At 47.4% G+C, this 18,047-nt stretch overlaps 3 annotated features.

Moving 5' to 3' along the window:
* Positions 1,358-2,557: an enhancer, noted in NCBI's record as "P300/CBP strongly-dependent group 1 enhancer chr6:44610400-44611599 (GRCh37/hg19 assembly coordinates)". NCBI's record gives its function as "activates an origin of replication core promoter dependent on BRD2, BRD4, P300/CBP, MED14 and CDK7 cofactors, with strong dependence on P300/CBP, by STARR-seq in HCT116 cells {active_cell/tissue: HCT116}" and the evidence as "EXISTENCE:reporter gene assay evidence [ECO:0000049][PMID:35650434]".
* Positions 10,101-10,602: an enhancer, noted in NCBI's record as "H3K27ac hESC enhancer chr6:44619143-44619644 (GRCh37/hg19 assembly coordinates)". NCBI's record gives its function as "activates a minimal SCP1, AML or CMV promoter by ChIP-STARR-seq in primed H9 embryonic stem cells {active_cell/tissue: H9 hESC(primed)}" and the evidence as "EXISTENCE:reporter gene assay evidence [ECO:0000049][PMID:30033119]".
* Positions 10,603-11,102: an enhancer, noted in NCBI's record as "H3K27ac hESC enhancer chr6:44619645-44620144 (GRCh37/hg19 assembly coordinates)". NCBI's record gives its function as "activates a minimal SCP1, AML or CMV promoter by ChIP-STARR-seq in primed H9 embryonic stem cells {active_cell/tissue: H9 hESC(primed)}" and the evidence as "EXISTENCE:reporter gene assay evidence [ECO:0000049][PMID:30033119]".

Raw genomic sequence — 18,047 nt, forward strand, 5'->3', positions numbered from 1 at the left:
AATGGAATATTCTTCCCCTGCTTCTATTTTTTTCCCCCATAAAACAAACTCTCTGCAAGAAATGTGAAATTTCTTACGAGACTGAACATGCTAACTTTTCAAACATCCCAGTCAGTCTGAGGAAACGAGGCAATGACGACTTGGAAAACACCTCCCTTTACACACACATCCATGCACGTGTGTCCAGGCCCTGTTCATCAGCTGGGCCTGAGTCAGCCCCTCAGCAGAATCTGACAGCAGGGGGGAAATGTCTGGAGAAGCAGAGCCATGTCGAGTCAAGTCGCCTATTGGGTCTTCTGGTCCTACCACCAGACTGATCCAAACTCCAGCTTTGTCTATTGTACATCCTCTGTGACTTTTCCCAGCCAGAGTTTAAATGACTCAAGCTCCACCGTCTTCCCTAGAGGGGTTATACTGCAGCCAACTAGAACGAACTCACCATTTGGAGTTGTATGCCTTTGATTGAGTCTAATTTTCCCTTTCCTTCTTTTCCCACTGTCATGTTTCTGCTGGATCCCTTTGGACCACCCGTGGTGCCTGCTCTTCAAATGTGTAGACCAAGATTTCTCAATGTATTGTGTCTGTGATACACTTTTGAATTTCAGCAGTCACAGCTGTGGTGGTGCAGAAGGTGGAACAGGGCACAGTGGGGTCTCAGCCCTTAGATCCAGACAGGCTCTGGGTCGGGCCATCTGTCTAACCACACCTTTGTTCTGTATTACACACGCATCTAAACACCATCATATCTCCCTCTGCTAGGGCCCTGCCATCTCTACTCTCAATCCCCTAAGCCAAATCTAGCACGGCAGAGTGAGGAAATCCAGAATGTGGCAAACTAGTAAGAAAGTCTTTGGGGCCAGGCACAGTGGCTCACGCCTGTAATCCCAGCATTTTGGGAGGCCAAAGCGGGTGGATCACCTGAGGTCAGGAGTTCAAGACCAGCCTGGCCAACATGGTGAAACCCTGTCTCTACTAAAAATACAAAAAAATGAGCTGGATGTGGTGGCGGGAGCCTGTCATCCCAGCTACTCAGGAGGCTGAAGCAGGAAAATTGCTTAAACCCAGGAGATGGAGGTTGCAGTGAGCCAAGATCATGTCACTGTGCTCCAGCCTGAGCAACAGAGCAAGACTGTCTCAAAAAAAAAAAAAAAAAAAAGAAAGTCTTTGGAACCCAGAAAAAGGGTGGCCTGCCCCCAGTTGAGAATCACTGTCATATATAGATCTAAAGGAAGTGAAACCTCTAACTAATTTACTCCCCACTCCCTACCCAGTTTGGCATTTTTATTCTTTCTTACGTCATTCTTGCTACTTCATTTTGAAATGCTGTGACAATTCTCTGAGTCCTCTTTTAAAACCTTAAGCCAAAAGAAACATGTATAATTACAGACAACTTTAATTCTTTGGCTATTTAACTCAATCATAATATGAGATTACTAGAAATAAGCCTGATAACTACATTCGTCACTTATTGATAAACGTACCAAAACACATAGTCTTGTTTAATTCCAAGAGCTAGTACAGACTCCATCGTACAGGTGAGAACACTGAGGCTTAGCGGTGTTAGATACCTTGTGAAAGTCAGAGGCCTGGAATTTGAGTTTGGATGAGCTGGAAAGCTGAACCACAACCAACACTGTCTCCTGCTCTCCTGGAACGACCAAGGTGAAGGTAGAGGGGAGGCGGAGGTGGGGACCAGGCAGACAGTTTGGCGCTGTGGGGCTTGGTCTGCTGTTTCACCACATTGCGCGTAGGACAGTATGTGTCAGACTTGTTTTCAGTTTTCAGTGATAGCTCTGCTGCTCCTAAATTGACTCATGTGCACGTCACACAGATGTGACAACACTGCCCCAGTGGAGTCTAAGTCATCAGGTTGACACAGCCGGAGGTCATTAGGACTTTGCCTGTGGGGAAGGGATGCAGACCTGGGTCTGGGAGAGAGTGCGACACGGCAATGTCCTTTGTTCGCTTTTGCTTCTGAAAATCCCATCAGGGCTGGAAATGATGCCAGTGGCTCCATCCATGCTTTGGCTGACTGCCAAACAGGTGAACTGGAGAATCTGTTAGTTACCCAGAGGGGCCTGCCCTGGGGACCAGAGGAAAGAGCTCTGATCCCAGGGCTGCTGTCACTTTCTTTATGGAACTCTGTTGTTTGTGCTTCAATTCCCTAATCCATACAATGGGTATATTAACATCCCTTCTCTCCCTTTCCCAGAAATGTCTCCAAATGACGCCACAGAACCACCTGCTATTCTTGCTGTGTCATCCAGGGGTAGGGCAAATTTTCCTGATGTTCCTCCCCTGGGAGGCAGGGCTCAGCTTTGTGCTGTGCACATTCCCCCAAAGCCCCCTGGAGGCTCTGGATCTGCTCTCTGTCCCAGAAGGCCAGTTCCTAGCGTGCCGCCCTCCCAACACCCTCTGCAGACAAACTGCTTCTCACATACCACATTGTGAGCATCCAAAGTCCACGCTTTCCATCTTCAGGACTCAGCTCAAATTCTTAATCTGTGGACTAGTGGCAGTCATCAGTTCTAGGAAATTCTCAGCCATTAGGCCTTCAAACTGCCTTAGGCCCTTTCCCTCTTCCCTCACTTTTTGAAACTCTGATTATACACCAGACCATCTTACTTTATTCTCCATGGCTTTTAATCTCTTTTACATTTTCCATCTATTTATCTCTCTGGGCTACATTCTAGATCACTTCTCCAGTTCTGTCCTCCAGTTCGCAAAGTCTCTCCTGAGTTGCTGTTGTTGTTGTTGTTTTTGAGATGGAGTTTTGCTCTCGTTGCCCAGGCTGGGGTGCAATGGTGCGATCTTGGCTCACTGCAACCTCCGCCTCCCAGGTCGCACCATTCTCCTACCTCAGCCTCTCGAATAGCTGGGATTACAGGTGCCTGCCACCACGCCTGGCTAATTTTTTGTATTTTTAGTAGAAATGGGTTTTACCATGTTAACAAGGCTGGTCTCAAACTTCTGACCTCAGGTGATCCACCTGCCTCAGGCTCCCAAAGTTCTGGGATTACAGGCGTGAGCCACCGTGCTGGGCTGTCTCTCCTGAGTTTTAAATTTTTATTTTATTTTATGTCTAGACTTTCACTTTCTAGAAGTTCCATTCTGTTCTTTCACAAATATGCTTACCCTTTACTCATATTTTAAAGATGCTCTTTCATTTATCGAAAACAGTTATATTCGGTGTTTGATAATTCCAGAATCAGAAGTCTTTGTATGTGAATTCTGTTGTTTCTGCTGAATTTCCACATCTGTAAAATGGGAAGAATATCACCCACTTTGCATGGTTATTGTCTGGATTAGAAATAATACCCGTAAAGCAGCCAGCCCAGAAGTTGGTTTGTAGAGGGAGGTGTTTAATAATTAGTAGCCATGATCACCGATGTGGTTGCTATTGTTAGAAACTTCTACCACAAATGTTCACCAGGGCCAGAGATAAAAAATTAAGAACAAAAGAGAAAAAGATGGCATTGGGCAAAGACACAAGGAATTATTCCCCTCAGCTCTGCCAATTAAAAATTGTCCCATGAGAGACATTGTACCTTGCATCTCTCTTTAGGGCCTTTGTAGGATCTGGAATTGTAGCAGCAACATCAGATCAAACCCACTGGGAGCTATTTGTGCAGATATTTCTGTCAAGACCTGCTGCTCCTGGCACTTCCTGGGGCCTCCAGGGCTTCCTGCATGTTCCTGATTGACAGACATGGAGGGTTATTTTCTTTTCTAGCATGAGCCTGGAGGCTGTGGTATCCTGGGGTCATCTTGGGTCTTCAAAGCTGGGCTTCCTGGGATGAAGAGAGGATGGATGAGAAGATGGGCACAATCTTCAGATCCTGAACAGATCTGGGTCCTCCTTCCTGAGACAGGAGCAGAGGAAGGGGACACAGCCCTGCTGAAGCTGCAGGTTCCGCAGCAGATTCAGCCTTGGGGCAACTTCCCAAGGAATGATGGTATAGGGATAGCAGGCAGGTTTCCCAGACACTCAAGCATCCCACCCAGGCGCCAACAGGGGGTGTCCTCTGGGTGGTCTTGGTCTGAAAAGTAAAGGTGAGTGCAAACGCCAAGATGCTGGATAGGACATTCAGAGTGTCCCAAGAGACTGAGGGCTGCTTCTTTTGCAGAGGAGTCTTTCCCTTCACAACCAGATTTGTGTCAACGGTGAGCGGGCCCTCTGCAGTCCATTTAGAAAATTACTCATACGGTCCTCTTTGTCCTCTTTCCATTCCTTGTGTCCTGACAACTCTTCACGACCCCCAGTTATTCTTTGGAAATGTTTCTTGGATCTCTCCTGGTCTTTTTCTTCATCTGCAATGTGAGGATAATGATGATAACACCTTTGCAGGTGCTTAACACAACCCATAAATGGCTGAGCTGAGCTTCAGTCCATGCTTTGGGTCCCCAGACTGTGCTACTTCCAAAACCAGGCTTGTCTCCTCAAAAAGACAGTTGCGGCCGGGCGCGGTGGCTCACGCCTGTAATCCCAGCACTTTGGGAGGCCGAGGCGGGCGGATCACGAGGTCAGGAGATCGAGACCATCCCAGCTAAAACGGTGAAACCCCGTCTCTACTAAAAATACAAAAAATTAGCCGGGCGTAGTGGCGGGCGCCTGTAGTCCCAGCTACTTGGGAGGCTGAGGCGGGAGAATGGCGTGAACCCGGGAGGCGGAGCTTGCAGTGAGCCGAGATCCCGCCACTGCACTCCAGCCTGGGCGACAGAGCGAGACTCCGTCTCAAAAAAAAAAAAAAAAAAAAAAAAAAGACAGTTGCTCCTTGAGGGTAGGGACTGTGTCTGCCATGTCCCCTGTAGCCCCTGGCATAGCCTGCTGTTGGAAACAGTCAGCTCACGAGGATTTTCCTCATGCCTGTTCATGGTGGCTTCAGCCTCTCTCGCCTGGCATAGAAACCCAAGGGTCTCCCTGCTCCTTCTCCCAACAGGACTGCTGGGCAGAGGAAGACCCCCTTAGTTGGAGGTAGCCAGGCTGGGTTCCCTCCTGTGCTTGAGAGTGTGCTCCCATTGACATGTCCACCACTGTGGTTTCTAGGAGCTGCTCTGTGGATAGTGTATGTGTATCCCAGCCTCTTCTCCATCTTTCTCACCCCTCCTCCTCTTCCTCTTTGATAGTCTGAGTTCCAGGTCCACATGTGGTTCATTTAGTTATTTTTCAAAAAATTTCCTGGCCAGAGGATTTCAGCTTCCAGGAAGGCTCTCCCGGCAGAGCGTGGGAGTCTGAAGCTGCCCCGGGGGGGCCTTCTTGTGGTCAGGCTGTCTGCTCTCTCCACTCCTGGACACTATTTGTCTTTGACTCACCTCTTCTTCCACTATGAGTTATTCTTGCCTTGACCAGCCAGACCATGTGGGGAGAAGTCTTGGAGAAGCCCACAGCTTCAAGTTAGCTGGAAGGACACCTCGAGAGGACCTTAGGTGTGACCTCGACCAAGATCCCCTCAATACCAGCCCTGTTCCTGCACCTGCCCAAACCCAAAGGTTGAGCTGGGTCTGAGCTTCCACACTGATTTGTAACCCATTTCACCTTCTGATAAATATAAAAATTCCACGACTCCTTCTTCTGCCACCCGAAGATAATCTGAACAACTCCAATGAAGAATTACAATTATTTATATACCTGGCCTCATTTTTTGCTTTTTTTTTTTTTTTTTTTTTTCAAAGACAGGCTCTCACTCTGTTGCCCAGGCTGGAGTGCAGTGGCATGATCTTGGCCTACTGCAACCTCTGCCTCCCAGGTTCAAGCAGTCCTCCCACCTTAGCCTCCTGAGTAGCTGGGACTCCAGGCTTATGCCACCACACCTGGCTAATTTTTGTGTTTTCTTGGGGTAGGCAAGGGGTTTCACCATGTTGCCCAGGCTCAAACTCCCGGGCTTAAGCTATCCGCCCGCCTCAGCCTCCCAAAGTGCTGGGATTATGGGCATGAGCCACTGCTCCTGGCCTACCTGGCCTCATTTAACCCTATAGACAGACTCTAGGCACATGACCCCCAGCCAAGAAGATTTTGTAGAGCTGTCCTTTCTGCCTCTTAATTTATAAAACTAATAGGGAGGGACCCTTTTATTTTCCAATAGGAAGTAATATTAGGATGTTTAATGAGTGTTACTGGAAGGGACAGGTGTTCTTCCCTCACCCCGTGCCCCCTCTTCCTAGAGAAATACACATAAGGAAGCCAGAGGAATGGAGGAGGCCCTGGGTCATGTGACAGGCAGAGAAGAGCCCAGAGCCTTATGATCCCAGAAGCTGTGCTGGGCACAGCCAGCTTGGCCAGGGAAAGGCCTGGCCCTCTCAAAAGAGGTCTTCTCACAGAATCCAAGGCCTATACACCTCCTTTCCCCACTCCTTCCTTCTCCACCCCTCCCCAGGGGGGCCAGAAGGAGCAGAGGGAGCCCAAGACTCCTCATGGGGGGTTAAGAAAATGAAGAGGCTGGACTGTGGGGGAAGGAACAAAGAGCTAAAGGCACCGTGAAGCCAAGGAGGGAGGGTGAGTGTCTTCCACACTCCTGTGGACTGTGTTCAGGACAGATGCTAAGACACAACTTCGAAGTGAAAACTGGTGCATTTGGTTTAAGACTCCCTGTATAAGAGTGACTGAGTAACCACAGCAGGGCTGATATATCCCTTGTAATGTCATAGCCTATGATTACATGTTTTTCACACCATGTTTTATTCCTCACCCCAAATACTGGTGGTTTCAACATGCCTGTTCCTCCCTCCCCACAAATCACACAAAAATCCAGCAACTCTGACAGTCTTTGTTCTATGATCCTTGAGAAAGTCCTACGTTTCCAATGTCAACTGCTCAACCACATCATGGCCTTGATTTCCCCAGAATTGTACAGATGAGAAGCACATCTAGATCCTTCTCCTGCATCCCTCACTCTTGAAGCTCTCCCTTCCACAACACTGGCAGTGGTCTTCCAAGGAACCCCAGCTCCGTGGCTCCCAGGCTCTGAGTGGGCTTGCTGCTGGAGAAGTTGCTAACCCTGTGTGTGATGGTGAATTTTATGTGTCAATTTTCCTGGGCCGTGGAGTGTCAGACATTTAGTCAAATACTATTCTGAGTGTGTCTGTGAGGGCATTTCTGCATGAGATTATGTTTTGAATCAGTAGACTGAGTAAAGCAGATGGCCTTGCCTAATGTCCGTGGGCCTCATCCAATCAGCTAAAGGCCTGAATAGAACAAAAAGGCCAAGTGAGAGGGAACTCCTCCTGCCTGACAGCTTTGAGCTGGGAAGTCAGTCTCTTTTGGCCCTTGGAACTCGAACTGAAACATCAACTCTTCTCCAGTGTCAAGCCTGCTGGCTTTTGGACTGGAACTTACACCATCAGCTCTCCTGAGTCTCCAGCATGCTCACTGTAGATCTTGGGACTTAGCCTCCATAATCATATGAGCAATTCCTTATAATCTCTCTCTGTCTCTCCCCTGCTCCTTTACACATGCACATGCACACACTGTTGCTTCTGTTACTTTGGAAACTCCTGACTGATATACCATGATTCTTACAACTTGAGTTTCACCCTGCCTTGTGCCTGGACCCCACTCATACACATTCCTCTTCTCTGCACCTTTACCACGAGTCACACAGCCTCTGTTCTTCCTGCTTCCCACTGGCCAAAGCCTTCTACAGAGGCCAACAGAAACCAAAAGACCCCCGCTCACACTCTGTCTCTGGGTTGGAGTCCCTGCTCCACAAATGAGCCTTCCACCCTCCCAGTCCAGGGCCTTCCCACTGATGAAAGTGAAAATCTGAAAGGAGATAAGTATTTGGACAACAAAATAAATAGCACAGTATTGGATTATAAGCCAAAGTCTAATATAAATATCCACGAGTCCGTACTGATATAAATACATGACAGAATAAACAAATAACTGTGGAGAAGAGACCCATCTTCTGCAGAGGAATTCCAAATCCTGTGTAGATACTTCCTCCACGAGGACAAGGAGCTCCCTCTTCCTTGAGTGGAGACTGCACATAGCCACTCGCTTCCAAAGAATAGAGTGTGGTGAGGGTAAGGGATGCAGGGAATTGCTTTACAGCAGAGAATTACAAGTCACCTGGCAAACACTACCTTGGCCAGGTGATCAAGTGACATCAGCAGTGATAAGTCCTGTTCATAGCATGTACTCCCTGGTATGGTACAAAGAGAAGGGTGCTTCACCTCTGTGGTTGTCACCTAAACCCATAACTCTAGTCTAATCAAGAGAATATGTCACACCCAAATTGAGGGGTGTATTGCAAAACACCTGGCCAGTACTCTTCAAGGTCGTGAAAAACAAAGAAAGACTGAGAAATGGTCAGCCAAGAAGAGCTCAGGGAGACATGATGACTAAATGTAACATGATATTCTGGATGGGATCCTGGAACAGAAAAAGGATATTAGTTAAAAAAAATTGTGTGAAATCCAAATGGAGTCTGGAGTTTAGTTAATAGTAATGGACCCATGTTTCTTAGTTTTGACAATTGTACCGGGGAAACGTAAAATGATAACACCAGGGGAAACTGAAACTGGGTGACAGGCATACAGGAACACTCTGCACATCGTTGCAGACTTTTGGTGAATCTAAAATTGTTCCAAAATAAAGAGTTCATTTTAAAAGATGAGGTAGGCTAAACTAGAATATTTCTTTCTTTTGTGTGCATGTGTTATTATGCAATTGACATATAAATACATTGTGCAGGATTCAGACAAACAGAAGTTTACAGAACAAAACCAGGAAGTCTCCATCTCTCCTCTACCCCTGCCTTCCATTTACCTCCTCAGAGCTAATAATGTTCATTATGGCTCAAACCGGGAAACTGCTTACTATGTGCCAGGTTTTGCTAGAAATGCTTTGCCAAAACCGAGTGACTGAACTTAATCTTCATAACAACCTATTGGGATAGACACTGCTAGACTCATTTTACAGATGGAGAAACTGAGGCACATGGAGATTATGGAAACTGGCCAGGGAAGGTAGTAGGTGGCAGAGCTGGGATAAAAAGCCCAGGACAGGCCAGGCACAGTAATCCTAGCACTTTGGGAGGTCGAGGCAGGTGGATCACTTGAGGTCAGGAGTTTGAGACCAGCCTGGCCAACATGGTGAAACCCTGTCTCTACTGAATATACAGAAATTAGCCGGGCATGGTGGCGGGCACCTATAATCCCAGCTACTCGGGAAGCTGAGGCAGGAGATGTGATTGAACCTGGGCGGTGAAGGTTGCAGTGAGCCAAGATTGCACCATTGCACTCCAGTCTAGGCAACAGGGCAAGCAAGACTCGGTGTCAAAAAAAAAAAAAAAAAAAAAGGCCCAGGTGAGTGAGTGCCAGTATTCATGCTTTAACCACCAAGAGAGGAGGCACCACTTCCGCTTTTGGGCACAATCCTTGCGCGCACACACACACACACACACACACACATCCGTTTTATTGGGACTAACATCCATGTTGTTGTGCAACTTACTTTTCATTCTTAACACATCTCAATGCACCTTTCATGTCAGTATCTAGGGCCTACCACCATTGTTCTTAATTGTTCTATGCCAGTGCCTCTCAGCCAGGGGTGCTTTTGACCCCAGGGAACAGCTGACAAAGTCTGCAGACATTTTTGTTTGTCACAGATGGGACAGGGGATGCTACTGGCATCTGGTAGGTGGAGGTCAGGGATGCTGTTGAACATCCTACAATGCACAGGGCAGCCCCTAACAAAGAATGATCTGATTCAAAATGTCAATGGTGCAGCATGGTATCCTGTGGCAAAACTAGAAGATTCCTAAGCACCTTCTAGTTCTCACATGCCACAAGGATGTGTCACGCAGGGCCTTTCCCTCTCCCTCCCAGCTCTCTATGCTCAGTCCGTTTTCATCCCTTCCTGCCATGCACTCACCTCCTCAGCTCTCCTCCCAGCACACTCTTGTGTCTGGAAGCCACACTTTGCGGCATCTCCTGTTATCGCTCTTTTTTCACCTTGCAGATGCCATATTGTTCCTCGATGAATTGTCCCTGGAGAGCAATAATGGTATCCACTTCTGTAACATCCTCAGGGCCCAGCATGCTGTGCTCGGTGGGCAAATCGGAAATTACATCACTCCCATTCAGAAAGAAGTCTAACCATTCAAGATGATATTTGTACCCCAGGGCCTCTTAGCCCTGGCTGCACAGTAGAATCACCTGGGGAACTCTAAGTAAACACAGATGTCCCAGCCCCTTCCCAGACACCCATTGAATCACAACCTCTTGGGTAAATTCTGCACATCAACATCTTTTAAAACTTCCCTCGCTGATTCCAACGCCCAGTCAGGGAAGAGAACCACCACGCTAGTCAGTTACTGCTGCAGAGTTATCACAAACATCTGAACCGAATTCTCACAGTTCTTGAGATAGAGCCTGGTGATAAATTCCTGTCAAAGGAAGGGTCACGTCTAATTTCTGTTCTCTAATCCAGGGCTTCGCTCACTCTAACGGGCACATGAATCACCTGGGATCGTGATAAAATGCAGATTTGGGTTCAGAACGTCTGAAGTGGGGCCGGAGGTGCCGCATTTCTAACAAGCGTCCTGGGCTGCTGCTGCTGCCGCTGGTCCCGGGACCGCATTGTGAGCAGCAAGGCTTGGAATGTTGCTTCAGGGTGTAGGGGCCTTCAGGCTCTTTCCCAAACTTAGGCTCCGAAATGTTTGCTTGTTACTTAGCCAGGCAGGCACCCGGGTCATCCTCTTGGGAAACAGCTTCAGTGCAGGTGAGCTGAAACAAAAGCTCTGAAGAGAAATGGTAAATGTTTACTGGGAGTTAGGAAAAAACAAACAAACAAACAAAACAAAGAAAGAAGCAGAGGAATGCGACAACTCCTAAAACTTAGAAATAAAAAGATAAAACCCCAGAACTTCAGGGCGCCTTCCAGTTTTAACAGTCTTGGTTTGATGTCCATTAGAATGTCAGCTAAGATCCATCAAGGCTGCAATTTCCTCCCACAGACTTGGGACCTCATTTTTGCTGCTTGAGCCGCACTCTGTTCTCCATCAGTGGGATTTACGCATATGGAACCGAGTGTGGAATTGGGCCCATTACATTTAACTTCCTATATCTGACATATTTAATACCTACTTTTCAAATAAATGAAATCCCTGTTTAGTGCCGGCCTGGAAAGGTGCAGTTGGTTAAGGAATTTTTCATGGGCCTGCGCAAGGCGACTCTGTCAAACCCGGCAGCCTCTTGAAGAGGGTGCAGTGACCGGGGTCTCTCAGAAATGGGGGGACAAGGTTATAGAATAATGGAACAGCTGTTACAATAAATGGGCAAATGCATTTTTTTAAAAAAGTCTTAAGAGCTGCTTTGTGTGCAGAATTATAATCACACATAAAAATGTGTGTGTCTCAGAATTGGGGAAGGAGAAGCTCTCAGAAGGCATCAGTTCTAAGAATCTGCTTTCATTATGTGCCATTCCAGAGGGATGAATGGACCTTGACTCTGTGAAGTATAATAGCAAAGTCACAACTTGGCCTAGCTTTCACTTAGCCTCCACATCCTCTCAAACAACAGCAAAGGGGGCTGGGGCTTGGAAGGGGGCAGCCAAGGCTAGGGGGTGATACCTACTCTCACTCCACCCTTACCAACCAGCTACCTGGTGGGACATGTCGAGGTGAACATGCCACAGGGCATCTGAACTGGGCCAGAGCTGGAACTCCAGAAGCTGGAGCTTCTGGGGTGAAGCTTGGGGCAACCCCACACCCTGTCTTCTACCCTAAGGATCCATTTGCAAGAGTTTCTATGCACAGCGTCCTTGGTTTGGGGCTAATGGAGAAGTGGTACGTGTGTGAGTCAAGGGGTACCTAAAGAAGAGAGAAACATAAAGATAATGCAGAGGATAGTGTGTGTTCCCTAGTCTCAATGGAGAAATAGAGAGAAGTTCTTTTCACGAGCTGCCCTCTGAGCTTCCAGGGTCCAAATACTGCTGCTTTGCAACCCAGTGACAGGATGGCAGCGGGGGCCAGCTACTTTCCCTTCTTGCTGACAAAACCCAGGCTCTCTGTCTTGTCACTGTCCTCAGTTTTAGAGTATGTGTCACTGGGTGTTGGTGTCACTGGACTTTGGGTCCTGGAACTGGCTGAGTGGAGATGAGGTGGGGGTGCCATTAAGTGTGCAGGTGGGGTGGGGACTGTGTGTGTAAAATTCTTTTCTCTATTCTATAGGATTCCCCTTTGGCTACTCATCTCAGTCCTGCACCCTCCAGAGCTTCAAGGAGCAGAATACTTAGAAAAGCAAAAAAGGGAATCTGGGAAACAAACAACAACAACAAAAAACCCACACAGTTGTTATGATGGGGTTTTTTTTTTGTAAATGTCTTCAAAATCTCAGTTCAGGTTCAGGGCTCAGCTCACCTGCCATCCAGGCTGGTTCTCTCAGTTCACTCAAGCCTATGTCATGCTGTGGCCACCTGGATGTGAGTATTCAACCAGGACTGGTCCCATCCCTGTTCCTTCTGCTACCGGGGCCATCTGAGCTGCTCCTCACCCGGAGACAGAATGGATGCAGTGCCTCTCTGCACCCCCAGCCCCACCCCCAGCTCAGCCCGACACAATAACAAACAGCCCTGTGAAAAGCACTTACATTTATGAACTGTTTATAAATTTACCGACATTGATTTATGACTCTTGGCTAGACCTGATGTGAGTCTCTTTAGGGGTATTTCTTCCTTTCTTTCTTTCTCTCTTTGAATTTTTTTTTTAAGTGTTAATGTTACGGTTCACATTCTTAATATAGCCACACGCCAGGAACTATCCGGAAGACAGCTGGGAGCCCGACCAATGACCCATGGGCAGGAACCTAGACTTGATTTATGCCGGGGCTGTGGCTGGTGGAGAAAGCTGTTTCTGGTTGGTTCGGGGACAGGCTGTTCTTTCAGAAGAAGACCCCTAAGAGAATGCCTCAGCTCTGAGGGGCAGTTGCAAGAAGCAGGAAGAGGGCAAACTGGATTTGGAACTGTGTGAACCTCACTGCTTCCTAGATATGTGACTTGAGACACCCTGAGCCCCAGTTTCCTCATCTAGGTAATAGGGATAATAAAACTGACCCTGAGTGGCAGCTACAAGAGTTAATGGGGCCCTATTGGTAAAATACTTAAATGTGGCTTCCCCATAGTAGGTGCTCAGTAAATGATGATGAGGACTTTCCAAAGCTTGATCAACAGTGATTATTTATTAGCCAGTTTTGTATACAGTTTGGAATGGAAATGTGCCACTAGCCTCTTCAATGAAGTTATAGTCAGGCTCCCCACACAGAGCCCAGACTCCCTTTCTCAGCCATGAAAAACGCTGGAGGGGCCTGGAGGAAAGTATGAATGAAGAGCTCCTCCCTGCCGCTGCTCTGCCTGTCACTGCACACACGAAGAAAATTGGTATCACTCTGGCCAGGTGCGGTGGCTCACACCTATAATCCTAGCACTTTCAGAGGCCGAGGCGGACAGGATTACTTGAGCGCAGGAGTTCGAGACCAGCCTGGGCAACATGGTGAACCCCTGGTGGCATGCACCTGTGGGAGGATGACGCAGGAGAAGCACTTGAGCCTGGGAGGCAGAGGTTGTCGTGAGCCGAGACTGCACCACTGCACTCCAGCCTGGGTGACACAGCAAGATCCTGCCTCAAAAAAAAAAAAAAAAAAAAAAAAAAAAAAAAAAAAAAGAAAGAAAGAAAAAGAAGAAGAAGAAAAAAGAAAGAAAGTAAGGGAAGGAAGGAAGGGAGGGAGGGATGGAAGGAAGGAAGGAAGAAAGAAAAACAAAGGAAGAGGAAGGAAGAAAAAATTAGTATTACTCTCATTGTGTCACTAACTTTAATTACTACCTATATTATTATCTATGACTGTCTTTGCTAAGGAAAGAAGGAACTAACATTTATTGAACACCTTCAGTTGTCAAGAACTTGGCAGGACTTATTTTAAGTCTCATATAACCCTCTGAAGTGGGTGTTGTTATTCCTATTTTACAGATAAAGAAACTGAAATTCAGAGAGATTAAAGTAATTTTCCCATGATCCCACAGCTGGTAAGTGGCTGAGATAAGACAGAAACCCAGCCTCACTCCTAAACAACCCATTTCCCCCAAAACTCTTATCTACCTTATCTACCTACCTACCTACCTAAAAAAACAAAACAAACCCCTGAAATCCTGACTGAGGGCCTGAGAACCTCATGGTGAGGTGTGAAAACCCGTGCAGAGCACAGCATGTCCTGTGACATGAATATCAAGGAATGTCCCCAGGCAACCCGTGCCTGCTCAGCCGCTGTAATTGAGACAGACCCCACCTCTTGCGACAGAGCCTTTCTGGGTCTAAAAGAAGCAGGAACAACAAAGAAGCAAACAACTGGGGCTCGAGTCTACCCGCAGGGACGCCCGCAGACACCAGGTGGCGCCCGAGTCTGGCCGAACGCTGAGCTCCCCTCGGTCTGATTTCTGAGGGGGCACAGCGTCCACCGACTGTCAAATAGAGTGGGTGGAGGTGATGGCCAGCCAAAGAGAGGTGTCCTAGCTATGGTTGGGTGGCCTGTGGGGGAGATGCTACGTGAGGGTGCCCTATCCAAACACTGAGCACCGAGGGGTGATCCTGATGTCCACCACAGTGACCCGGGGAGGAGTTGTGAGCTCATGGTCCCAGGGTCCTGCCATGCAGGCACCAGGGACAGAAGACGGAAGTGGGGGTTCCTTCAGTTCCTCCAAGAGAGCCGTTTTCCATTCCCCGGCAGAGGCCACCTCAGCCCCTCCGCAGCTCTGTGCTTGGCCTGGGTGGACCCCGACCAGTGGATGTGGTTGAGCAGGAGGAGTCCTTAGACCCCAGCTTCTGGTCACAGGGGAAAGGAGTCTCCCGCGTTGGGGATCCCCATCCCCCTGGAAGCCAGGCCCTTCTGTCCAGGGCCCTGTGCCTTCTCTTACTGTGGACTGAGCCTCCACTCTTGGTTTCCACTTGGTAGAATGTCTGGATGAAAACAATCACACTTGGATTCCAGGTGACACAGACATGCCCAAAACCCTGGTGACATAGCTCAAGCAGAAAAAGGGACGACTTGATGTAGCAGTCTCCTACCTTTGTCTGCCCCACCTCCTAATTACCGGGACCATCTCAGTCTTTCCAGGACTTGCCAATTTCATACATCCCAGTTTTTCTTATAAGTCATTGAAAATAGTCTGGAAAGCCCAATATTCAATGTGGCATCTCCCAAACAGCTTCTCTCAGCCAGAAGTGGGACAGAACTCTAAAAGTGCTGGGGTTTGGTTTACATACTAAGGTCACCCATGGCCTATCCTATATTCCTAAGGTGAGGCTGTTGGAAGGGGAGAGGCTCCTTCTACCCACGCAGAGCAACATGGAAAGGCAGCCACCTGCCCCCTCAGCTTGCAGCCTGGAGGCCTTTGCGTTCCTCTCCATTTATATGTCCTGGATTCCAGAGCCAAAATCTTCTACGCCCATAGACAGAGAGTAGGTTCATTCAGAGGCTCATTAATTACATGGCTAAGAGAAGGAAGGGGAAGAAAAGACTCATGAAAATGTTCATTTAAACTTAATTGCTGCCCATGCTCTTGCTAATTGAAGTAGCTCCGTTGCATTTCACTTATGTACCTGAGTGTATTTAAAATGGGATATTGCACAGTATAAACTAAGCCACATCACAAACTAACGATCTGGAAAATCTCAGTTAAATAAACAAAGCTGGCTTTAAGTTACACAGGAGAAACATGTAGTCTCCCGTGCGTACACACACACACACACACACACACAGACACACATACAGCCAAAGCACCAGGATCTCAGACCTTCGGTTCATATCTTCTCCTTCATAGTTCAAATTAAACACAGTCTTAGTCTCTTGCTCTCTCTTTTCCTCTCTCTTTCCCTTATTAAATTTATTTTTAACAGTACCTTAAAAAAATAAACTCACCCCTCTGTGCCACTCCTATGCCAGGTGCAGCCAGGGGCAAATTTTTACAGCTGAATTACATGACCTGAAAAATACGGAGCACATAATGAGAACATTGAGAGACCCCATCTCTAGCACCGGGCCAGTGCTGGTGTAATAACATTCCTGGAGAGAGCAGTAGCCGGGGCAGCTGTGGAGTCAGGCTGAAGCCCTTACTCAGCATGAGGAATTATATATATCTTGGAACTCTTTCCTGAACCTAAACATTATTGCTGAGAAAGGGATAACAGTGTGAGTGGCCATCGCTCGCCAGCCAGGGCTCACACACTGCTTCGAATGTGAGTTTCCTCCCAAGGCTGAGGGGAAACGTTCCAGACCCAACTTTGCCTAGGGCAGGGATGAGGATGGGGCTGAAGGCCTGGGAAGTCTTTGACTCTGGAGTGGTGTTGACATGGCAGTCGGATAAAGCTTGGCACTCCACAAGCCCAGGCTCCGTCGCCCAAGGACCTCTAGGAGGTGTTGTGGGCTGCTTAAAAGTCTAAGTCTACTTCCCTGTAACAGCTCCCTGGGCATTATCCTGGAACTCCCCAGTTATCTGGACTCAGACCAGAGCCCCTCAACCTCAGCTGTCTGCAGCCATGGCAAGAGTGAGGGAGGGCAAAGCTGTTGAGCTACAGGAATCACAGCAACAAAGATGGCTCTTAGGCTGGGCACAGTGGCTCATGCCTGTGATCCCGGCACTCTGGGAGGCCAAGGCAGGTGATTGCTTGAGCTCAGGGGTTTGAGACCAGCCTGGGCAACATGGCAAAACCCCATCTCTACAAAAAATACAAAAATTAGCTGGACATGGTGGTGTGTGCCTACAGTCCCAGCTACTCGGGAGGTTTAGGTGGGAGGATCACTTGAGCCTGGGAGGTGGAAGTTGCAGTGAGCTGTGATTGTGCCACTGCACTCCAGCCTGGGTGACAGAGTAAGATTCTGTCTCAAAAAGCAAAAAAAAAAAAAAAAAAAAAAAAAAAAAAAGATGGCCCTTAAAAGGTGACCATCCTAGATAGAATTTTTTTTTGAGGTACAATTCACATAGCATAAAATTGACCATTAACTAATTTAAAGTGAACAATTCAATGGCATTTAGTGCACTCATAATGTCATGTAACCATCACCTCTACCTAGTTCTACCCAAAAGGAAACCTTGTACTCCTTAAGCAGTCACTCTCCTTTCTCCTGTCCACCCAGCCCCTGGCAACTGCCAGTCTATTTCTGTCTCTATGAATTTACCTCTTCTGGATATTTCATACAAATGGAATCATACAAGACATAAGTAAAATATAGATTTTTAACTCTTTTATTGGTATATAATATGTATAAAGTACACAAACACTACAGTTGGACAAATTTCTGTAAACAGAACACATCCAAGTAACTACTGCCTAAATCAAGAAATAGAGCATTACATGCACCCAGAAACTCCACCATACTACCTCCTAGCCCTATTTCCCCCAGAGAACCACTCTCCTAACTTCTGTATCATGGATTACTTTTACCTTCTTTCCTACCATTATGTCTGATTGCAGTTTGCTCATTTTCCATTGCTGTATAGTATTCCAACATCTGATGACACCACAATTTATATATCCATTGGACTGTTCATAGATATTTTGGGTAGTTTCCACTTCCAAGCTGTTTATTTTTAATTGACACAATTCCAACAAACCTGTCAAGTGGACTTCTCAGACAATTGCTGATTAAAAACATCAAAATAGAAGAAATGGGGACATGGGGCGGTGTTGGGCTAGATGTCTTCTGGGAGTTTCATTGGTTCGGACTACTGTGATTTGAAGCATGGTGAGGGCAAGCAGAATAGAATCAAATCTCCTTTCTGTGTTCTCTTAGGGGACATTTATGGATAAAAAGTAACAGAGTCAGAAAAGACCAGATGAGTTTCTAAGCTTCAGAGTCATCTGCCCCCCTCCAGCTCCCCCAGCCCCCATTTTGGACCCTAAACAGACAAATAGCTGCTTCCTCTGCCACAAGGGCACACCTCAAATCCCACCTGACTGCCATCCTTTGTAATCTGTATCATGCAAAGGGACAGAAAACTGGGCACACAGTGGCGGCAAGGTCTGACCGATTGGGTAATTGGTCTTGGGCTCCCA

The sequence above is a fragment of the Homo sapiens genome, chromosome 6, assembly GCF_000001405.40.
Source record: "Homo sapiens chromosome 6, GRCh38.p14 Primary Assembly".
Lineage (NCBI taxonomy): Eukaryota > Metazoa > Chordata > Mammalia > Primates > Hominidae > Homo > Homo sapiens.